Here is a 17416-nt window from a genome sequence, read left to right as displayed (position 1 = left end):
ATGATGTAAGCAAAAGCACAATGCCTGGCATGAGAAATGATTGATAAATATTGTCTATTAAAATTATTAATTATCCTAAAAATATTTTTAATTGTTTTATTATTGTAAACATTATTTGAATTGTTACACATAATTGGCATTGTACAAAATATCAGATTAATGGAAACACCCTTGACTTTACTTGTAAAAATATATTTAGTCCATATTACTTACAAGTTTAAATGTACAAAAATTAAATATATTAATTTTTATTATTAAAGTAATAATTGCACCATAATGTCAAGCATAAAATTTTTAATGATTTTTTAATTTTATTTACAGTCTTATCTGTCTCTATCCCCCACCACATCTCTCGCTTCTGTCTGTCTTGCTTTCTTCCTCTCTTTCTCTCAGTATCTATTTATATATTCTGTATATTTATATACTTGTACAATTATATTATTTTTATTATATTGAAATCTCTAGTACATGTAATATTATATGTAAGCATTTTTCAGATTTCTATAATCCTGTGGAAACATAATTGTTAGGATTCTGTAATATTCTATTAAATGTTCTTATTAAAACTTATTTAGCTTTTATAATATTTTAAACACTGTATATGGTTTCAATGTGATTGTTTTGTTAATGTTAAAATACCTGACACATTAACAGAAAGAAAACTGTTGTGTTTTAAAATTAACTAAAAAATCTGATGAAAAACTAAGTGAATACTTAGGGAAAAAGTACTGCTTAAGTGCAGAACAAGTAACGGAAGTAATGGCTAATTCTAGAAGCTTTGCACAGCAGATAAAGATCACATTTCACATATAATAAGCACTTAGGCTAAAGTTAAATTCTTATAAGAATTTCCTTATATAGGTTTTAAAAATTCTGAATTCATACATTTTTATGTGTCACTTGCTATGATGTATTAAGTAAAAGAACAGTGTTTATTTTATTTGTTGTTGCATTTAATCAATTTGCATTTGTGCTTTCAGATTATTTTACTAGGTCCTGGGTTTATAGAAGCATAATAGTCTGTTGGGCAGCACTAGAACAGACAAGAGACAGAAAAGTCTGCAAATTACCTGTTTCCTCTCAATTTTAAATTATGGAGACTTCTTTTCAAAAATAAAAGAGAAAGGTATTGATATTTGTTATTAGTAAATTAAAAACGATGAAACACACAGGGATCCTAATGTGTAGAAGACAGACTTCCTCTCTTAACTTTCTCTCTTTGAGTAATATTTTCCCGCTGCACCATGAAGCAACTTTGAACCTTAAAAGGCATCAACATAAAAAAAGAGATATCATATTTAGATGCAAATTATTAATTATGGAAGGGAAAAATCCAAACTAGTCTGTTGTGGTAGACACGTGCCATGAGATATATGACTAATTTGATGGTTTGTTCAGCTGTCAATGCCACCTGACTTACTAAAATGTTACACTTTTCTCCCCTGCACAAAAGATTATTGTTCAGTATTATTCTACCTACAAGAATGTTGTACAAACTCTGGTACTTGTATATATTTGAATAATACTTTATGTGTAATTTTTCCAAGCATAGTGACAATGAATAAGAATATGCGGTGGCTCACGACTGTAATCCCAGCACTTTGGGAGGCCGAGGTGGGCTGATCACCTGAGGTCAGGAGTTCAAGACCAGCCTGTCCAACATGATGAAACACTCTACTAAAAATACAAAAATTAGCCAGGCATGGTGGTGGGAGCCTGTAATCCCAGCTACTCGGGAGGCTGAGGCGGGAGAATCGCTTGAACCTGGGAGGCAGAGGTTGCAGTGAGCTGAGATCACGCCACTGCAGTCCAGCCTGGTGACAGAGCAAAACTCCATGTCAAAAAATAAAAATAAAGAAAAATAAGGAATACATTAATCTATCGGCTCAAACTTCTTTTGAGATGGACTGTTTTAAAGTGGCAAAGACAATTTTTCTCTGGGGCTGTGGTTGGGAAGTTATTTTTATGTTTCTCGGTACCAGAAGCACAATATTTGAAAGCAACTGAACAACTTTCTCACCTGTTTCAGGTATTTAAATTTACGTTGCTCGTTTTTCCCGTGCATAATATATTTATCCACCTCAGGTGAAAACAACATCAGAAAGGGGGGAAAAAACCACCAAACCAAATTAAACCAGCAGGATTAAGCAAAAATTTAGATGCAGCCAGCTTGATCAGTGATGTTTTATTGATCAATCACCTGCACTTACATTGAATTGTTTACACACAGATTTCCAGCATAAATAGCAAATGCACCACTTCATTTTACTTATGTGATATCATGGATTAATGTACACATTAGTCTGTTAGATCCACCTTAGGTGTTCAGGTGCTGCATAAAATGACTTGCTGGTAGTTGCATTAAACCTTTCTTTTTAAAATACAATTAAAAGAGTTTTCAGGTGTTTTAAGACATAATGAGGCAGATTATTTAAGTACCTAGGCTACTTTATGAAGGTAAGTTAGACATGACTGGAAGCAGTATTAATACATTTATGTCACAGAGAAAATTGCTGATGTTTATATAGTTATTCAAAGTGTGTTTCACAAACTATTTGCCGGTATTTCTCTAATTTTATGTTATGGAGGCAATGGAAATTTACAGGGTTGACTGATACAAAGTATGTAGGAAGTTGTATTAGTCAGGGCTCTCCAGAGGGACAGACCTAATGAGATATATGTATACCTGAAAAGGAGTTTGTTAAGTTGAATTGTCTCACACAATCACATGGTGATCCCTGCAAGCTGAAGGCAAGACAGCCAACAGTGGCTCAGTCCAACTCCCAATGCCTCAAAAGTAGGGAAGCCAACAGTGCAGCCTTCAGCCTGTGGCCAAAGGCCCTAGCGCCCCTGGCAAACCACTGGTTTGAGTCCAAGAGTCCAAAGGCCAAAGAACCTGGAGTCCGATATTCAAGGGCAGGAAGTATCCAGCACGGAGAAAGATGAAAACCGGAAGACACAGCAAGCCAGCTTATTCCACCTTCTTCTGCCAGGTTTTGAAGCCATGCTGGCAGCCAATTGGACTGAGTCCACCCTCATTGAGGGTGGGTCTTCCTCTCCCAGTCCACTGACTCAAATGTTAATCTCCTCTGGCAACACCCTCACAGACACACCCAGAAACAATACTTTGCCTCCTTCAATCCAATCAAGTTGACACTTAATATCAACCATCATAGAAGTCTACCTCAGAGAGGTTCGTTCAGTAAGAGCTCTACAAAGGGAGAATATTTAAGCAGAACTTTTCATAGTAATGAGTCAAGCTTGAAAAGGTCACAGGGAATCACATTCAAAATAGAGCCACTGCCAAGCGCAAGACCCAGAGGCAGGGACAAGCTTGGCATGTTCCTGGAACAGGAAGAATGCTAGTGTGTCACTTAGCATACTCAGTTCTGCCTGATGCCAAATCTATACTATTGATACTACACCAAGCTACCATGAAAAGAACATGGAGAAAATATGAGAGTATTCTTTATTTTCCTGAAGCAATTGATCACTCTTTTCTTTAGGTCACTAAATATCCACTGATCATACTTTCCTTTTCTTTCCGAGGTCTTCACTCAGCAAATGGAACTCTATTTTCCAATCTAACATACATACATGTTGCTAAAATATTTACAAAAAGACAACATCTAGTTTATATGTTTTATGAAAAATTTCATTTTCAGGAAAAAAGGATGGCTGGATGGATATTATTTTTATTTCCAGGAATTCTGTTTCCAGGAATTTTACCTATGTTCTTGAGCACTTTTGAGCAACTTAAAATCGCAAAGACCAGGACTCTAAATTATGCATTATTGTGAGTATTCATTGCTTAATCATGATTAATAATCTTCATCACTAGTTCTAGAAAATTGAGTCTATGAAATCTATTCTTTTTACTATTACTATTATTAGCACATTCAATCATTTGCTTCAAGAATGGTATTATTACCATTGTGTGTTATTTTTTTTAAAGATGAAATACAGTAAAATTTATAAATAATAGCATGAATCATCTTTTTGTTTAAAACGGTGAAATTTCAGAAAATTATGATTGAAAAGTTGAATGATTATACAGTAGCTTAAAATATACATCCAATAGCTTATATAAGAAGTGTAAATGCATTATAAAAGGCAAAGAAAAGTAACAAAGTACAACACTCAGAAGAATGATTTTACAAAAAATAAACTTTGATTTTCCTTTTGCCTTGTATTTCTTACCACTCTAGATCATTTAGGATATCTTTGTAAGATATATGAATGTCTGTAAGCCATCTTAAACTATGTTTATTTGCTTAAAGAAAATTAAATAAGTTAGAGCTGCACTACACTTAAAAAATACAATAATGAGATTGTAGGTAAAATCTAGTATTAAAAAAGCAACAAGCAGAACCAATGCTTTTGTGCTAAAAGTACACTAAACTAAGAAGAGAGAAAGAACTCTTGGATCAGATGGCTCACACCTTATTCATGAACTGGTAGAATCTCTGGTTGTTCATCTTATAAATTTCATTTCTGCTCATGATGTGTAGTAACTTTCTTCTCAATTTAAAAAGTACAATAATAATCATGTAATTTTGAGATGAAAAAAGAGAATCCCTGTGGCATTTGAATGCTTTCTCCACTCCAGACATTGTTTTCTAATTCAGGAAATTGAGAGCTATGAATATGTGACCTCTAAGCATCCTTTCAATTTTGACATTCCCAGATTCTATATAAAACCAGACTCTCAAATAAACTGTCCCTAAGAATGACGGCATAATTTTGCTTTCGAACATCAATAGTTATTTATTCTTAACGTATGTCCTTCAAGAGTGTAGAGCATAGTGCAAAAAGTCTTGGTAGAAGTGTTGAGGCACAATAGTGCTCCCATCCCAGCTCTGCCACTGACAAGCTTAAGATATTGGATAGCTCACTTAATTCTGCCAATCCTCATTTATTAAGCTGAGTTGAAATATTTTTTCTCATTATAAATGAGGAATTTCAGTGAGAGATCAGTAAGTTGCTCTTAAAATGAATGTTAACAATAATTATAGCCAACACACAATGAACACATTCTCACTAAACAAAAGACTATAAAGTTTTCAAATCTTGATTTGCTTTTTCCCTTTCGAAATGTGGAGTGAGTTATGATGGCTACTTGGCATACTTGAAGCCCTTCAAATTGTCAATTCCTTGCTCTTTCTAAAGCTCTGGAGGTCTGTTTTCTCTGAAATGTTTGTTTCTTTCAATTTGTAGCTCTCTGTAGGTTCCCGCACTCAGAGCATAAAATAAAAAATACAAAGAAAAGTGAATAATCTTACCCAAAATTTATTACAAATAGCAATTTAAAAGACTCATTATCACAGTATGAAACGTAAAAAAGAAGGATCATAATCAAAAAATGTGAGAAAAATGTAGAAAATGTGTGGGTATATATCTAGCTATTTCAACAGCATCTGAATATATGATGTTGTGCTATTCATGAATGAATCAATAAATACATTTCTGTACTCATTTAATAGTGCATTATTGGAATTAAACTATAGCTATAAATACTAATTAGAATTAAATCATTAGAAATGAATTGTGCTCAGCATCTTCTACCAGGCTGCTATTAATGAGGAAGCTCAATTTGTTGGAATTCATCAATTTTTGTTTTATACTTTTAGGAGGGTTTATAAGACAACAGTATTTGGGGGAGGAGAGTCCCCAGGCTTCAAGACACTATAAAATCTCATTGAAGTTGGTTTCCTGAAAGTTAAATAAAAAGGAGAAAAAAAAACCCTCTTGGTACTTGTGCATTGCTGAGTTGGTCAAATTGAGCCAATTCTAGTTTTTCAGGGTTGTTGAACTCACCAGGGAGGACATGAGCAGACAGATGAAGTACAGAGGATACTCTATGTACCAGCTTCAGCAGAATCCAAGTGATTTCTCAGCCTGCACTTCCAAGTCCATGCATCTGGGATCTGAGTGCTCTTTAACACTCTTTAGTTAGTATGTGATGCCTTGCTCAGGAAGCCCTACTTCCTTGATCATCGTGATGGTTAATATTGAGTGTCAACTTGATTGGATTGAAGGATGTAAAGTATTGTTCCTGAGTGTGTCTGTGAGGGGGTTGCCTAAGGAGGTTACCATTTGAGTCACTAGACTGGGAAGGCAGACTCACCCTCAATCTGGGTGGGCACAATCTAATCAGCTGCCAGCAGGGCCAGCATAAAAAGCAAGCAAAAGAATTTGGAAATATTAGACTACCTGAGTCTTCTGGCTTTCATCTTTCTCCCGTGCTGGATGATTCCTGTCCTTGAACATCAGACTCCAAGTTCTTCAGCTATTGGACTCTTGGACTTACACCAGTGGTTTGCAAGGGGCTCTCAGGCCTTTGGCTGCAAACTGAAGGCTGCACTATCAGCTTCCCTACTTTTGAGGTTTTAGGACTTGGACTGGCTTCCTGACTCCTAGACTTGCAGAAGGCCCATTGTGGGACTTAACTTTGTGATTGTGTGAGTCAATTTGCTTAATAAACTCCCCTTCCTATATACATTTATCCTGTTAGTTGTGTCCCTCTAGAGAACCCTGACTAATACAATAATGTGTGACCTCAGCCCTCTCCAGCTCTAAGATCTACTAGTCTGGGCCAGAGCAAGGCTGACCATTGATTGCAGCTTTTCCAAGAAAGATAGGAAGCTTTGGAGTTCAGAAACTCTACGGAAGACTTCAATTTGTCGTGGGGTGGAAGTAGCCACCTGGGCCAGCAAGAGAGAACTGAGAGCAGTAGAGAGAAAACACCGAGAAGAGATGCACATTAAAGGCTGGGGAGGTAGAGAACTGCTGAGGAAAGGTCACCAGTCTTTGCTCAGGGTTCTCAAACTTGACACTATTGGGCCAGATAAATTTTTCCTGTGGGTGACTGTCCTCTGTACTCAGCAGTATCATTGGACTATACCTAGTAGATGCCAGTAGCACTCCTTCCAAGTTTCAAAAATCAAAAATGTCTCCAGACATTGTCACACATTCCACAATGTGGGATAGAAGAAAAGGCAGCAAAATCTCCCATGGTTTCAAACCAGTGATTTATGCATTCCCACCTCCAAGATTTGGGTTAACTCCTTCTTATTTTACCTTTGCATAATCATGCCCTGCTACGAACTTAACTTTGCCCCCTCAAGATTCATATATTGAAACCCCAACCTCTAATATAATGATATTTGGACAGAAGGCCTTTGGGAGATAATTAGATTTAGATGAGGTCATGAGAGTAGGGTTATATTTTATTTGTCTAATTTTTTTTTTTTTTTTTTTTTTGAGACAAGGTCTCGCTGTGTCTCCCAGGCTGGAGTGTAGTGGCATGATCACAGCTCACTGCAGCCTCAACCTCACAGGCACAAATGATCATCCTGCCTCAGCCTCTTAGGTAGGTGGGACTACAGGTGCATGCCACCACACCTGGCTCATGTTTGTATATTTTGTAGAGATGGAGTTTTGCCATGTTGCCTAGGCTGATCCCCAAACTCCTGGGCTCAAGCAATCTACCCACCTCAGCCTCCCAAAGTGATGGGATTACAGGCATCAGCCACCGCATCTGGCCTGGTTCCCTTGATGAGATTTATGTCCTTATAAGAAGAGACACTAGAGGTCTTGCAGTTTTTCTCTTTCCATCGTGTGGACATAGTGAGAGGGCAGCCATCAGCAAGCTAGGAAGAGAGACCTTCCCAGAACCCAACCATGCTAGCATCCTGATCTCAAATATCTAACCTCCAGAACAGTAAGAAAATTGCCGTTAAACCACCCAGTGTATTGTATTTTGTTATGGCAGATGGAGCTAAGACATGGCCTCTTCCCAGAAAACTTTCCCTTGCTCTTTGTAAGATTTAGATGCCTGCCCCACCGTGATTCTTTAACACCTTATTCTTTGTTTATTCAATGTAAATGTAGTAGACACCTGCTACATACTATATATTGTCCTCAACATATGGTAGCAAATAAAATTGACAAGGTTCCTGTCCTTACAGAGCGTTCATGTTTGGAGAGGAAACAGACCATAAAGTGCATAACCATAAGTAAATGAGATACGTGTGGTTGCCGTGAAGCAAATTAAACGGAGTGATGTGATACTACTTGGCAATTAACAAAATAACTAAAATGTTCATGAAAGCTAGCAACTGAGCAGACACAGGTGAAAGGAAAGGAAGAAACTATAACAACCAGAATGAAGAGGCATCAAGGATGAGAACCCCAATGTGAAAACCAATTAGGCTTATTTGCAGAATTCTAGGAAGGCCAGTGGCTAAGTGCTGTAAGTCAGGGGTCGAAGGCAAGTCTGAATTGAACTAGAAGAGATGGGAATGGCCCAGTTGATACAAAGCCCAGTAAACCGTGGTAAGGAGTTGGATTTTTTTTCAGTGGTCTTTATAGTACTTAATGCACTATCTCTAATTGTCAAAACTATTGGTCTCTTTCCCTTATTATCCGTATGGCCTTTCACAGTTCCTTCAATGTCTTGTAAAAAAAATCTGTAAAACGGGTAACAGCAAATGTCTCAAGTAATGCTGTGAGGTATACATAAAATGCGGTGATGCTAATAATAAGCATTATTTAATAAAATTGTAGTTAGTGCATTGCGGCATTATATTAATATCTTTCAATCTTCAGAGTGATAGGCTTTATTCCTGCTACAAGGATAAAGAAAAAACACTTGAACTTAGTGTCGAAGGCAGAATAGGAGATTGTTGTTGAAAAAATCACAATGAAAAGTGCAAGGCACTTCAGAAAATGGGAATAGCATGTGCAAAGCACTGTTATAAAAAATCCCGGAGTGGAGAGTGACTATAAGCAATTAGATGCAGCTGGAGTGTAAAGTGCAAGGAGCAGTAGGAGAAAAACCTGGATAAATATATTCTTACCTTAATTAGCTTATGTGATCTTGCTAAAAGTAACTTTATGTCCATTAGCCTCAGTTTCCTAATCTACTAAAAAAAAAAAAGCAACAACACCTCCTTCATTGCAATATTGTGAGGGTAACATGAAATAATACTTTATCATAGAGCCTGGTACAAAGTAAGTTTTAAAAACATTAGGTATATAGCCAGCCATCTAAAGGATACATATTAGTGCACCAATGCCCCTCTAAGCTAATTTCCATTGGTAAACTAAAAGACTCTGTTTTCAAACCTTTTCCATTTTTGATGAACGACTTGAATGGTACACATATTAGATATTTTAGATTACTGAAGTTGGAATGGATAGTGAACACACTACATGACAAATATCAAATCTTGACAAGCTGAAGTGATCCAATTTAACACCGATAAATGTATAGTCCAAAACACACATTTAGGGGGGAAAAAGTATCTATTTGAGATGAACCAGATGTGAGTGAACAGCCATTCATATGAAATATCAAAGAGCATTTTTTTGGGTGAATGTAAGCTCAATATGAGATAAGAATGGGATGTATTTGCTTAAAAAGCAGATGCAATGGTTTTCAGTAGCATTCAGAGAGGTACATATCCCATATAAGGAAGTAATTATCTCACTTCAATAAGACAAAAGAAACTTATCATAGTAACAGAAAATGGTTGGTATTTATAAATCGTTCGAATGATTGCATCTTTGGAACTAATGAATGAAGTGGTCAGTATATTAACAGTGTAAATCTATCTCTACTTAGTTTCCATTTAGAATGGAAGGTGTGAAAGATTTCTGAAGGATGTGAAAAGCAATGCCCTGAAAGGAAATGGAGCCCATGATGTTGACCTTCATCCTCTCTTTTGATTCCTGTAATTCCACTTGTGTTAAGGAGGCCAGTAGACCAGTTGGCAGATCGTTTCAAGGAAGTTGACCCTGAGTAGCTTGCTTTTGACATGTAGCCAATGGAAAGTCCGACTGTAATTCATCTGGGGAGTCTGGTTGAAATGTGCAATGATGGGCATGACATGTCCTCAGCAAGAGTGGCACTAACCCATACAAGGGAATTGGAATGCTTACAAAGAAGATGCTCCAAAAACAGGGGGCAGAGAAAAGCGCAGCCTTCATTTGAAATATACTCTTAGTGAATTTCAAGAGACTGGAACATGTTTTAAGGAAATCTGGGCTTGCTTTCAAAAACAGGATCCATTTATAGTCTGAGGGGAAAGTCAGAGGAGGCTAAGGGAAGCTGGCTGAGATTCACTTTGAATTCCTTGATTTTCCAAATCTGAAGCTCAAAGTCAAATTTAGGCCCTGCCAACTACTTGAACCATGACAGGAGTTAAAAGGTTTTTAGAAGTCCTTAAAAAATTATACTGCTGGTGGCAACGATAGCTTGACGACTTTAATTCTGCAACATCAATAATGGTGTCTGGGTTGCATAGTCACTGTGGTACTCCTCATTTTCACTCCCTCGTACAAACTCTGCATATGGAAAGGTATGACTGATATGGGAATAAGTGTAGCATATTTTTTGTAATGTGATTTTCTTGAAGCTGTGACAATCATGACTTGCTCTACATTTGGGGGGTGGATTTGACCCTCTGCAGCTATGAAATTTCATAAGAGCATATTAAAACTATTTTAAGAAGCAGGAAAGGAGAATTAGAAAGATAATGAGCACAGATTAAGAACAAGTGCACCATTGGCCCTATAACGCTTGGGTTCAAGAGATAGATGACAAAAGATAGAAAGATAGATGACACACAGATAGATAGATAGATACGTAGGTAGATAGATAGATAGATAGATAGATAGATAGATAGATAGATAGATAGAATACATAGATAGATAGATAGATAGATAGATAGATAGATAGATAGATAGATAGATAGATAGATAGGATACATAGATGATAGATAGATAGATAGATAGATAGATAGATAGATAGATAGATCAACTCAATTATTTACACACTGTTATGATTTTTATTTAGCAGGCCCTTTTCCTTTAGACTTCCCTCTGATATCATCCATCTTTGTAGTTTTTCAGCTAATATGGCTCTTGCTCACAGTTTTAGAAAAACTCATTTCTACTAAGCTGGTCTTACCAAAATATTACTTTATAAGCTCTTTTTCACATGTTGATTCAGCTGTCCATGCTTATTTCTACCTATTCTATAATAAGCTGGATAATCTAGGTTATATTCCTGACAACCCCAAATCTCATTTGCAAAGAACGATAAAATCTACTTATCACTTACTCTAAATGTTCCATGCATGCCAGTGTGGGGTTTTGCTCAACACGGTCACCCAGGGAGCCTGGCTGACACAGGCTAGCCCATGTTATAGTGGCACAATCTGTGACACCTGCCTCTTCTCAGTATGTAACACAGGGGAAGAGAAAGAGTGATGACTTGTGAAAAGTTGACCCAGACATCTCTCAAAAAGCGATATAAATAAATTACACTCACATTGCATCATTTAGATGAGTTACCAGGTCTTGACTTATTGCAAGGAGGTTAGAAAGTATAGGAAAGAAAGTGATATTGATCTTGCCTGCCGTTTTGCCGATTTTACAATTCTGGCTAGCCTAGAGTCCTTTAAGTTCTGATCAGGAGACTGAAACATTAAGATTTCACTTGTCATATGTGGTCCTGGCAACATCCCAAACTTTATGTTCCCATGTACCTTGTGATGAATTCTAGGGCCTCCTTATAAGAAGCAAAATATAGAATTTAAACTCATGGACACAGCATCAGTAGTGCTACCAAAAGCAGACTTGTATTATTGTTAGAAAGGCCATCAGATACGACCCTAAGTGAATGAATTAATGAATCATTAAGCTCCTTCATTCATCAGCCCGTTTAATGTATCAGTTGAGAAACTGACATTTATTATCTATGCTATGGTGAGAACCATGCTTTGTACCTATTGTACCTAACAATCTGAGACAAGCATGGCATATTTCTACCCAAAAGGAGTTTTAGCTGCCCAGGAGAAGGGAGGTCAACAAAAGAACACTGAAGTTTAGTGTGATAATTAATAAGATAAAAGTTAAATGCAGATGCATGTGTATACTCCCCATCCCTCACCCCCCCCCATAAACACTCACAGCATGCCAAAACTATACTAGGTATTTGAGTTTCATGGCTCAGTAAATACACACATATAATAAATTCTGTGGTGTGCCACATACCTCTTGCAAAAATTTGAGGCACTCATTTCTCCTGCTGTTGGGAGTATGGGTAGTTACTATAGCTTTCAGCTTTGACGTTCTCCACCAATTGCTCTCAGCTTGAAAGGGCCCTCTTAGTCAAGGTCATGCCCCTTTCACGGGAGTAACCCACATTCAATACTGATTAATGGAGGGGGGATGGGATGGGGGAGGGGTATAAGTTCCCATCTTTTTTGGCTTAAAGCTGAGGGTGAGTAATCAGCAATTAAAATCTAAGTGTAAAAGCCAATGGACCATCATGATAGCACATGAAGTGACTCATTTTTCAAAGTCTAAGGATATAAAAAGGTTTTCAGACCCAGAGCTTATATAAGAGTATTTTAACTCCAGTGGAAGTTGAATTCTTCATTTTAGCCATACTGTGGTCTGGCCCTAATTAAGAAGGAGCAAAACCAGAGACAGGAGATGGGGATATATGAGTCCATACATATAAAATCTTAAATCCCCAGATCTCTCTGAAATATCTGGGCTCAGAGAAGTGGCCCATTCCTTGTTAGAGGATATGACTTTCTTTTTACTTGAAGATGATTCAGAAACTTTGCCTTGCAAGAAAATATTCATGCCCATAAGGATCCTCTTATACTTCTCCTCTGACTACCAGACCACTAATTCGGGTTAGGCCACAGATGACTTGGCTCAGTATGTGTGTGCTACCCTAAAACTCCAATGGACATATTCCTTAAAAAAAGAGCTGTAGAAATGAATCCTGACAATGAATTAACCTTCAGGTAAAACACCCGGTCACACATGTTTTCTGGAAATATAAGTGGCTCAAAGTAAAGAATATAAATATGAACTAATAACCATTGGCTAATAGCTTGGCTCAATGGTCAAGGGCCTGTAAAGAAAACAACTAGAATAATAGGGATAAGGAGACTAAAGATGTATACATATAAATAAACTTATGCTCATAAGCAGAAATATAAATATTCTTGTATCACATGTTAATACCCAAGAAAATGCATCCACCTTTTTGACAGTCAGAATAATGATCTCCCTCTCCCCACAAAGACATTTCCATTCTAATTCTAACAGGTGTCTCTGAAATAATTTGGATGTTTGTTCCATCCAAATCTCATGTTGAAATCTAATCCCCAATGTTGGAAGTGGGGCCTGGTGGGAAGTGTTTGGGTCATAGGGGCGGATCCCCTCATGAATATCTTGGTGCTCTCCTCATGGTAATGAGTTTACATGAGAACTGGTTGTTTAAAAGTGTGTGGTACTTACCCCCTGTCTCTTTTGCTCCTTATCACCATTTGATGCACCTGCTCCCCCTTCACCTTCTGCCATGATTGGAAGCTTCCTGAAGCCCTCAGAAGGTGCAGATGCTGGTGCCATGCTTCCTATACAGCCTGCAGAACTGTGAGCCAAAACAAACCTTTTGGAACTTCTTAGAGACTGGTTAAATGGTTGTGACGAAAATACTGATAGAAATTGGACAGTGAAAGCCAGGCCGATGAAGTCTCAGAGAGAAATGTGTAATTTATTAGGAATTAGAACAAAGGTCATACTTCTTATGCCCTAGCAAAGAACTTAACCACATTATGAACGTGTGCTAGGGATTTATGGAAGATTGAACTTAGAAGTGATGACCTAGGGTATCTGGCAGAAGAAATTTCTAAGAAGCAAGGATTCAAGATGTGGCCTGGCTGCTTCTAACTATCTATAATCTGATATACGAGCAAAAAAATGACTTAAAGTTGAAACTTATAATTGAAAGGGAAACAGTGCAAAAGTTTGGAAAATTTGTAGCCTGGCCATGTGGTAGAGAAAGAAAAAGCATTTTCAGGAGAGGAATGAAAGGAGGCTTTGGAAAAACCACTTGCTAGAGCAATTAGCATGACTGAAAGGGAGCCAAGTGCTGATATCCAAGACAATGAAAAAAATAGCCTTAAAGGCATTTCAGAAGTCTTTGAAGCAGCCCTTCCCATCACAGGCCTAGAGGACTAGGAGAAAAGAATGGTTTTAGGGGCCAAGCCCATGGTGCCACTGCCCTGCACCACCTCAGGGTACTGCTCCTCACATCCTGGCCCCTCTGGCTCTAGTCAGAGTTCAAAGGGCCCCAGGCATAGCTCAGACCACAGCTCCAGAAGGTACTAGCCATAAGCCTTGGCAGTTTCCATGTGGTGTTAAGCCTGCAAGTGCACAGAATGTGAGATTTAAGAAGGCTTGGCAGCTTCTACCCGGATTTCAGAGAATGTACAGGAAAGTCTGGGTGCTCAGGCAGAAACCTGCTGCAGGAGCAGAGCCTCTACACAGAGTCCCCACCAGAGCACTGCCTAGTGGAGCTATGGGAAGGGGCCTGCTGCCCTCCAGACCTGAGAATGGTAAAACCACTGGCAGCTTGCAATCCTAGCCTAGAAAACCTACAGGCACTCAAATCCAACTTGAGAAAACAACCACAAGGGCTACATCCTGAAAAGTCCCAGGGGCAAGTGTACCCAAGGCCTTGAGAGCCCACTCTTTACATCAGTATGCCCTGGATATGTGACACGAAGTCAAAAGAGATTATTTTGGAGCTTTAATATTTAATGACTGCCCTATTGGGTTTCATACTTGTGTGAGGCCTGTTGCCCCTTCCTTTAGGCTGATTTCTCCCTTTTAGAATGGGAATATTTACCTAATGCCTGTGCCACCATTGTGTCTTGAAAGTAAATAACTTGGTTTTCATTTTAAGGCTCATAAGTGGAAGAGACTTTCCTTGTCTCAGATGAGACTTTGGATTTTGGACTTTTGAGTGATGCTGGAATGCATTAAGAGTTTTGAGGACTGTTGGGATGGGATGATTGTATTTCGCAGTGTGAGAAGGACATGAGATTTGGGAGGCCAGGGGCATAATGATATAGTTTGGGTGTTTTTTCCCCTCCAAATTGTCATATTGAAATCTGATTCCTGGGGTTGGAGGTGGGGCCTCGTGGGAGATATTTGGGTCATGGTGGCAGATCCCTCATGATTGGTGCCCTCCCTGTGGTAATGAGTGAGATCTCTTTCTTCATTCACATAAGATCTGGTTGTTTTAAAAAGCGTGGCACTTCCCCCCCTCTTTCTTGCTCCCTCTGTCACCATGTGACACACTGGCTCCTCTTCACCTTCTGCCATGACTGTAAGCTTCATGAGGCCCTCACCAGAAGCAGATGCTAGAGTTATGCTTCCTGTACAACGTGCAGAACTGTAAGCCAACATAAACATCTTTTATTTATAAATAACTTAGTCTCTGACATTCCTTTATAGTAACATAAAAATGTACTAACATAGTCTCAAAAGACAACAATTAGAAAAAGCCATCCCAACTCCAATATTACTGTTGGATTGTAGTGCCTATGTACAGTTTGATAACTTCCACTGTCTACTCTTACCTCTTTTAGTCACCCACAGGTTTTGCTTGAAAGCATATTCACCCATAAAAGTCTTACACATAAATCTCCATCTCAGAGTCTATTTAGGAAAAGAAAACGGAACTAAGACAATTACATCTACCATATAAGCTATGCATAGGAAGTACAGGTTTCTATGAAGTATGGGATATAAGAGTAGGTTTCACTAGAAGGCTGAAAGCCACATATGTAAAGTGAATATCCGAAGGATGTAAATAAAGGTAGTGCTTGAATAGACTTTGGAGAAGCATAGGGAGCAGGAGGAGAGAACCTGTCTAGGAGCACCTGCACATCTGAAGCACAGTGACAAGAGAAGCATGAAATGTCTTGGGGAGTAAAGGAAGGCCAGAAAAGCTGAAGCAAAGTAAACTGAGACTGTAGACATAGCATCTCATAGAAATCACTTTAAAAATAACAATTCCAGGCCGGGTGCGGTGGCTCACACCTGTAATCCCAGCACTTTGGGAGGCCAAGGCAGGTGGATCACAAGGTCAGGAGTTTGAGACCAGCCTGGCCAAGCTGGTGAAACCCCATCTCTACTAAAAATATGAAAATTAGCTGGGCAGGGTGGCAGGCGCCTGTAATCCCAGCTACTCGGGAGGCTGACGCATGAGACTCACTTGAACCCAGGAGGTGGAGGTAGCAGTGAGCCGAGATCGCACCATTGCACTCCAGCCTGGGCGACAGAGTGAGATTCTGTATGAAATAATAATAATAATAAATGAATAAATAAATAAAAATAACAATCTTTATTCTAAGATCAGTGAGGCAGCTACTGATTTTTTGTTAACACAGTTGTGTGAAATTGGGCAAGAAGTGAGATATAATCCGATTCTCATTGTGAATAGAACTTTCTGCCTTCAGTATAGAAGCCAGAGAAGGTGTGCACTAAAAGTAGGGAGACGTGATAGACAGCTATGGAAGTCCAGGTGGGAGTCTATGAGCACACAAGAAGGGCTATCTAATCCAAACCAGGGTGGCCAGGGGCACCATGTAAGGCTTCCTAGTAGAAGACATGACACATCTAAACAGAGTGGGAAAAATGAATCACATTGAAAATTGTCAGGCAAAGGAGAGAGGAAGGGGTTTTCTAACAAAGGCTCTGACTGAAAGAGGGGAAGCCTTATCACTAGCACTATAACTTGGTAGTCATGGATGGCTGGAGAGAAAAGGGGAGTGGAAGCACAAGAGCTGGAGAGCTAAGAGGTCATGTCTTCAATAAACATTGAGGGTAGGAATTCAGACTCTGCCAAAGGTAAAACAGAGCTGTGGCGTGGTGTTAAGAAGCAGGGACATGATCACAACTCCACTTCAGAAATATCTCACTGGAAGCAGCTTAGAGAACAAAATGGAAGAATTAGAGAACCATGGCAAGGTTCTCTGATGAGGTGAGAGGATAACTCTCTATTGGAGTTTCAAGTCAGGAAGTTCACCCTATCAGCAGTATATAGGGGGGATTTATAGCAGAAAAAGCTATGAAGGCTGGTTACCAGAGGCATAGAAAGAAAACACAAAGATTTTTTATATACCAGCAAAAGATACAGACTTCCAGCCAGGTGCAGTGGCTCACGCCTCTAATTTCAGCACTTTGGGAGGCCAAGGTGGATGGATCACCTGAGGTCAGGAGTTCAAGACCAGCCTGGCCAACATGGTGAAACCCTGTCTCTACTAAAAAAAAAAAATACAAAAATTACCTGGGCGTGATGGAAGGGGACTGTAATCCCAGCTACTCGGGAGGCTGAGGCAGGAGAATCACTTGAACCCAGGAGGCGAAGGTTGCAGTGAGCTGAGATTGAGCCACTGCATTCCAGCCTAGGTGATGAAGCAAGACTCCATCTCAAAAAAAAAAAAAAAAGAAAAGAAAAGAAAAAGAAAAAGACTTCCATGCACATGTTGATGACAGAATTTTCATGACATTTTTGGCTCATCTTTGAGTAGAA

Source organism: Homo sapiens, chromosome 16 (assembly GCF_000001405.40).
Source record: "Homo sapiens chromosome 16, GRCh38.p14 Primary Assembly".
Taxonomy (NCBI): Eukaryota; Metazoa; Chordata; class Mammalia; order Primates; family Hominidae; genus Homo; species Homo sapiens.
This window is presented reverse-complemented; position numbering follows the sequence as displayed.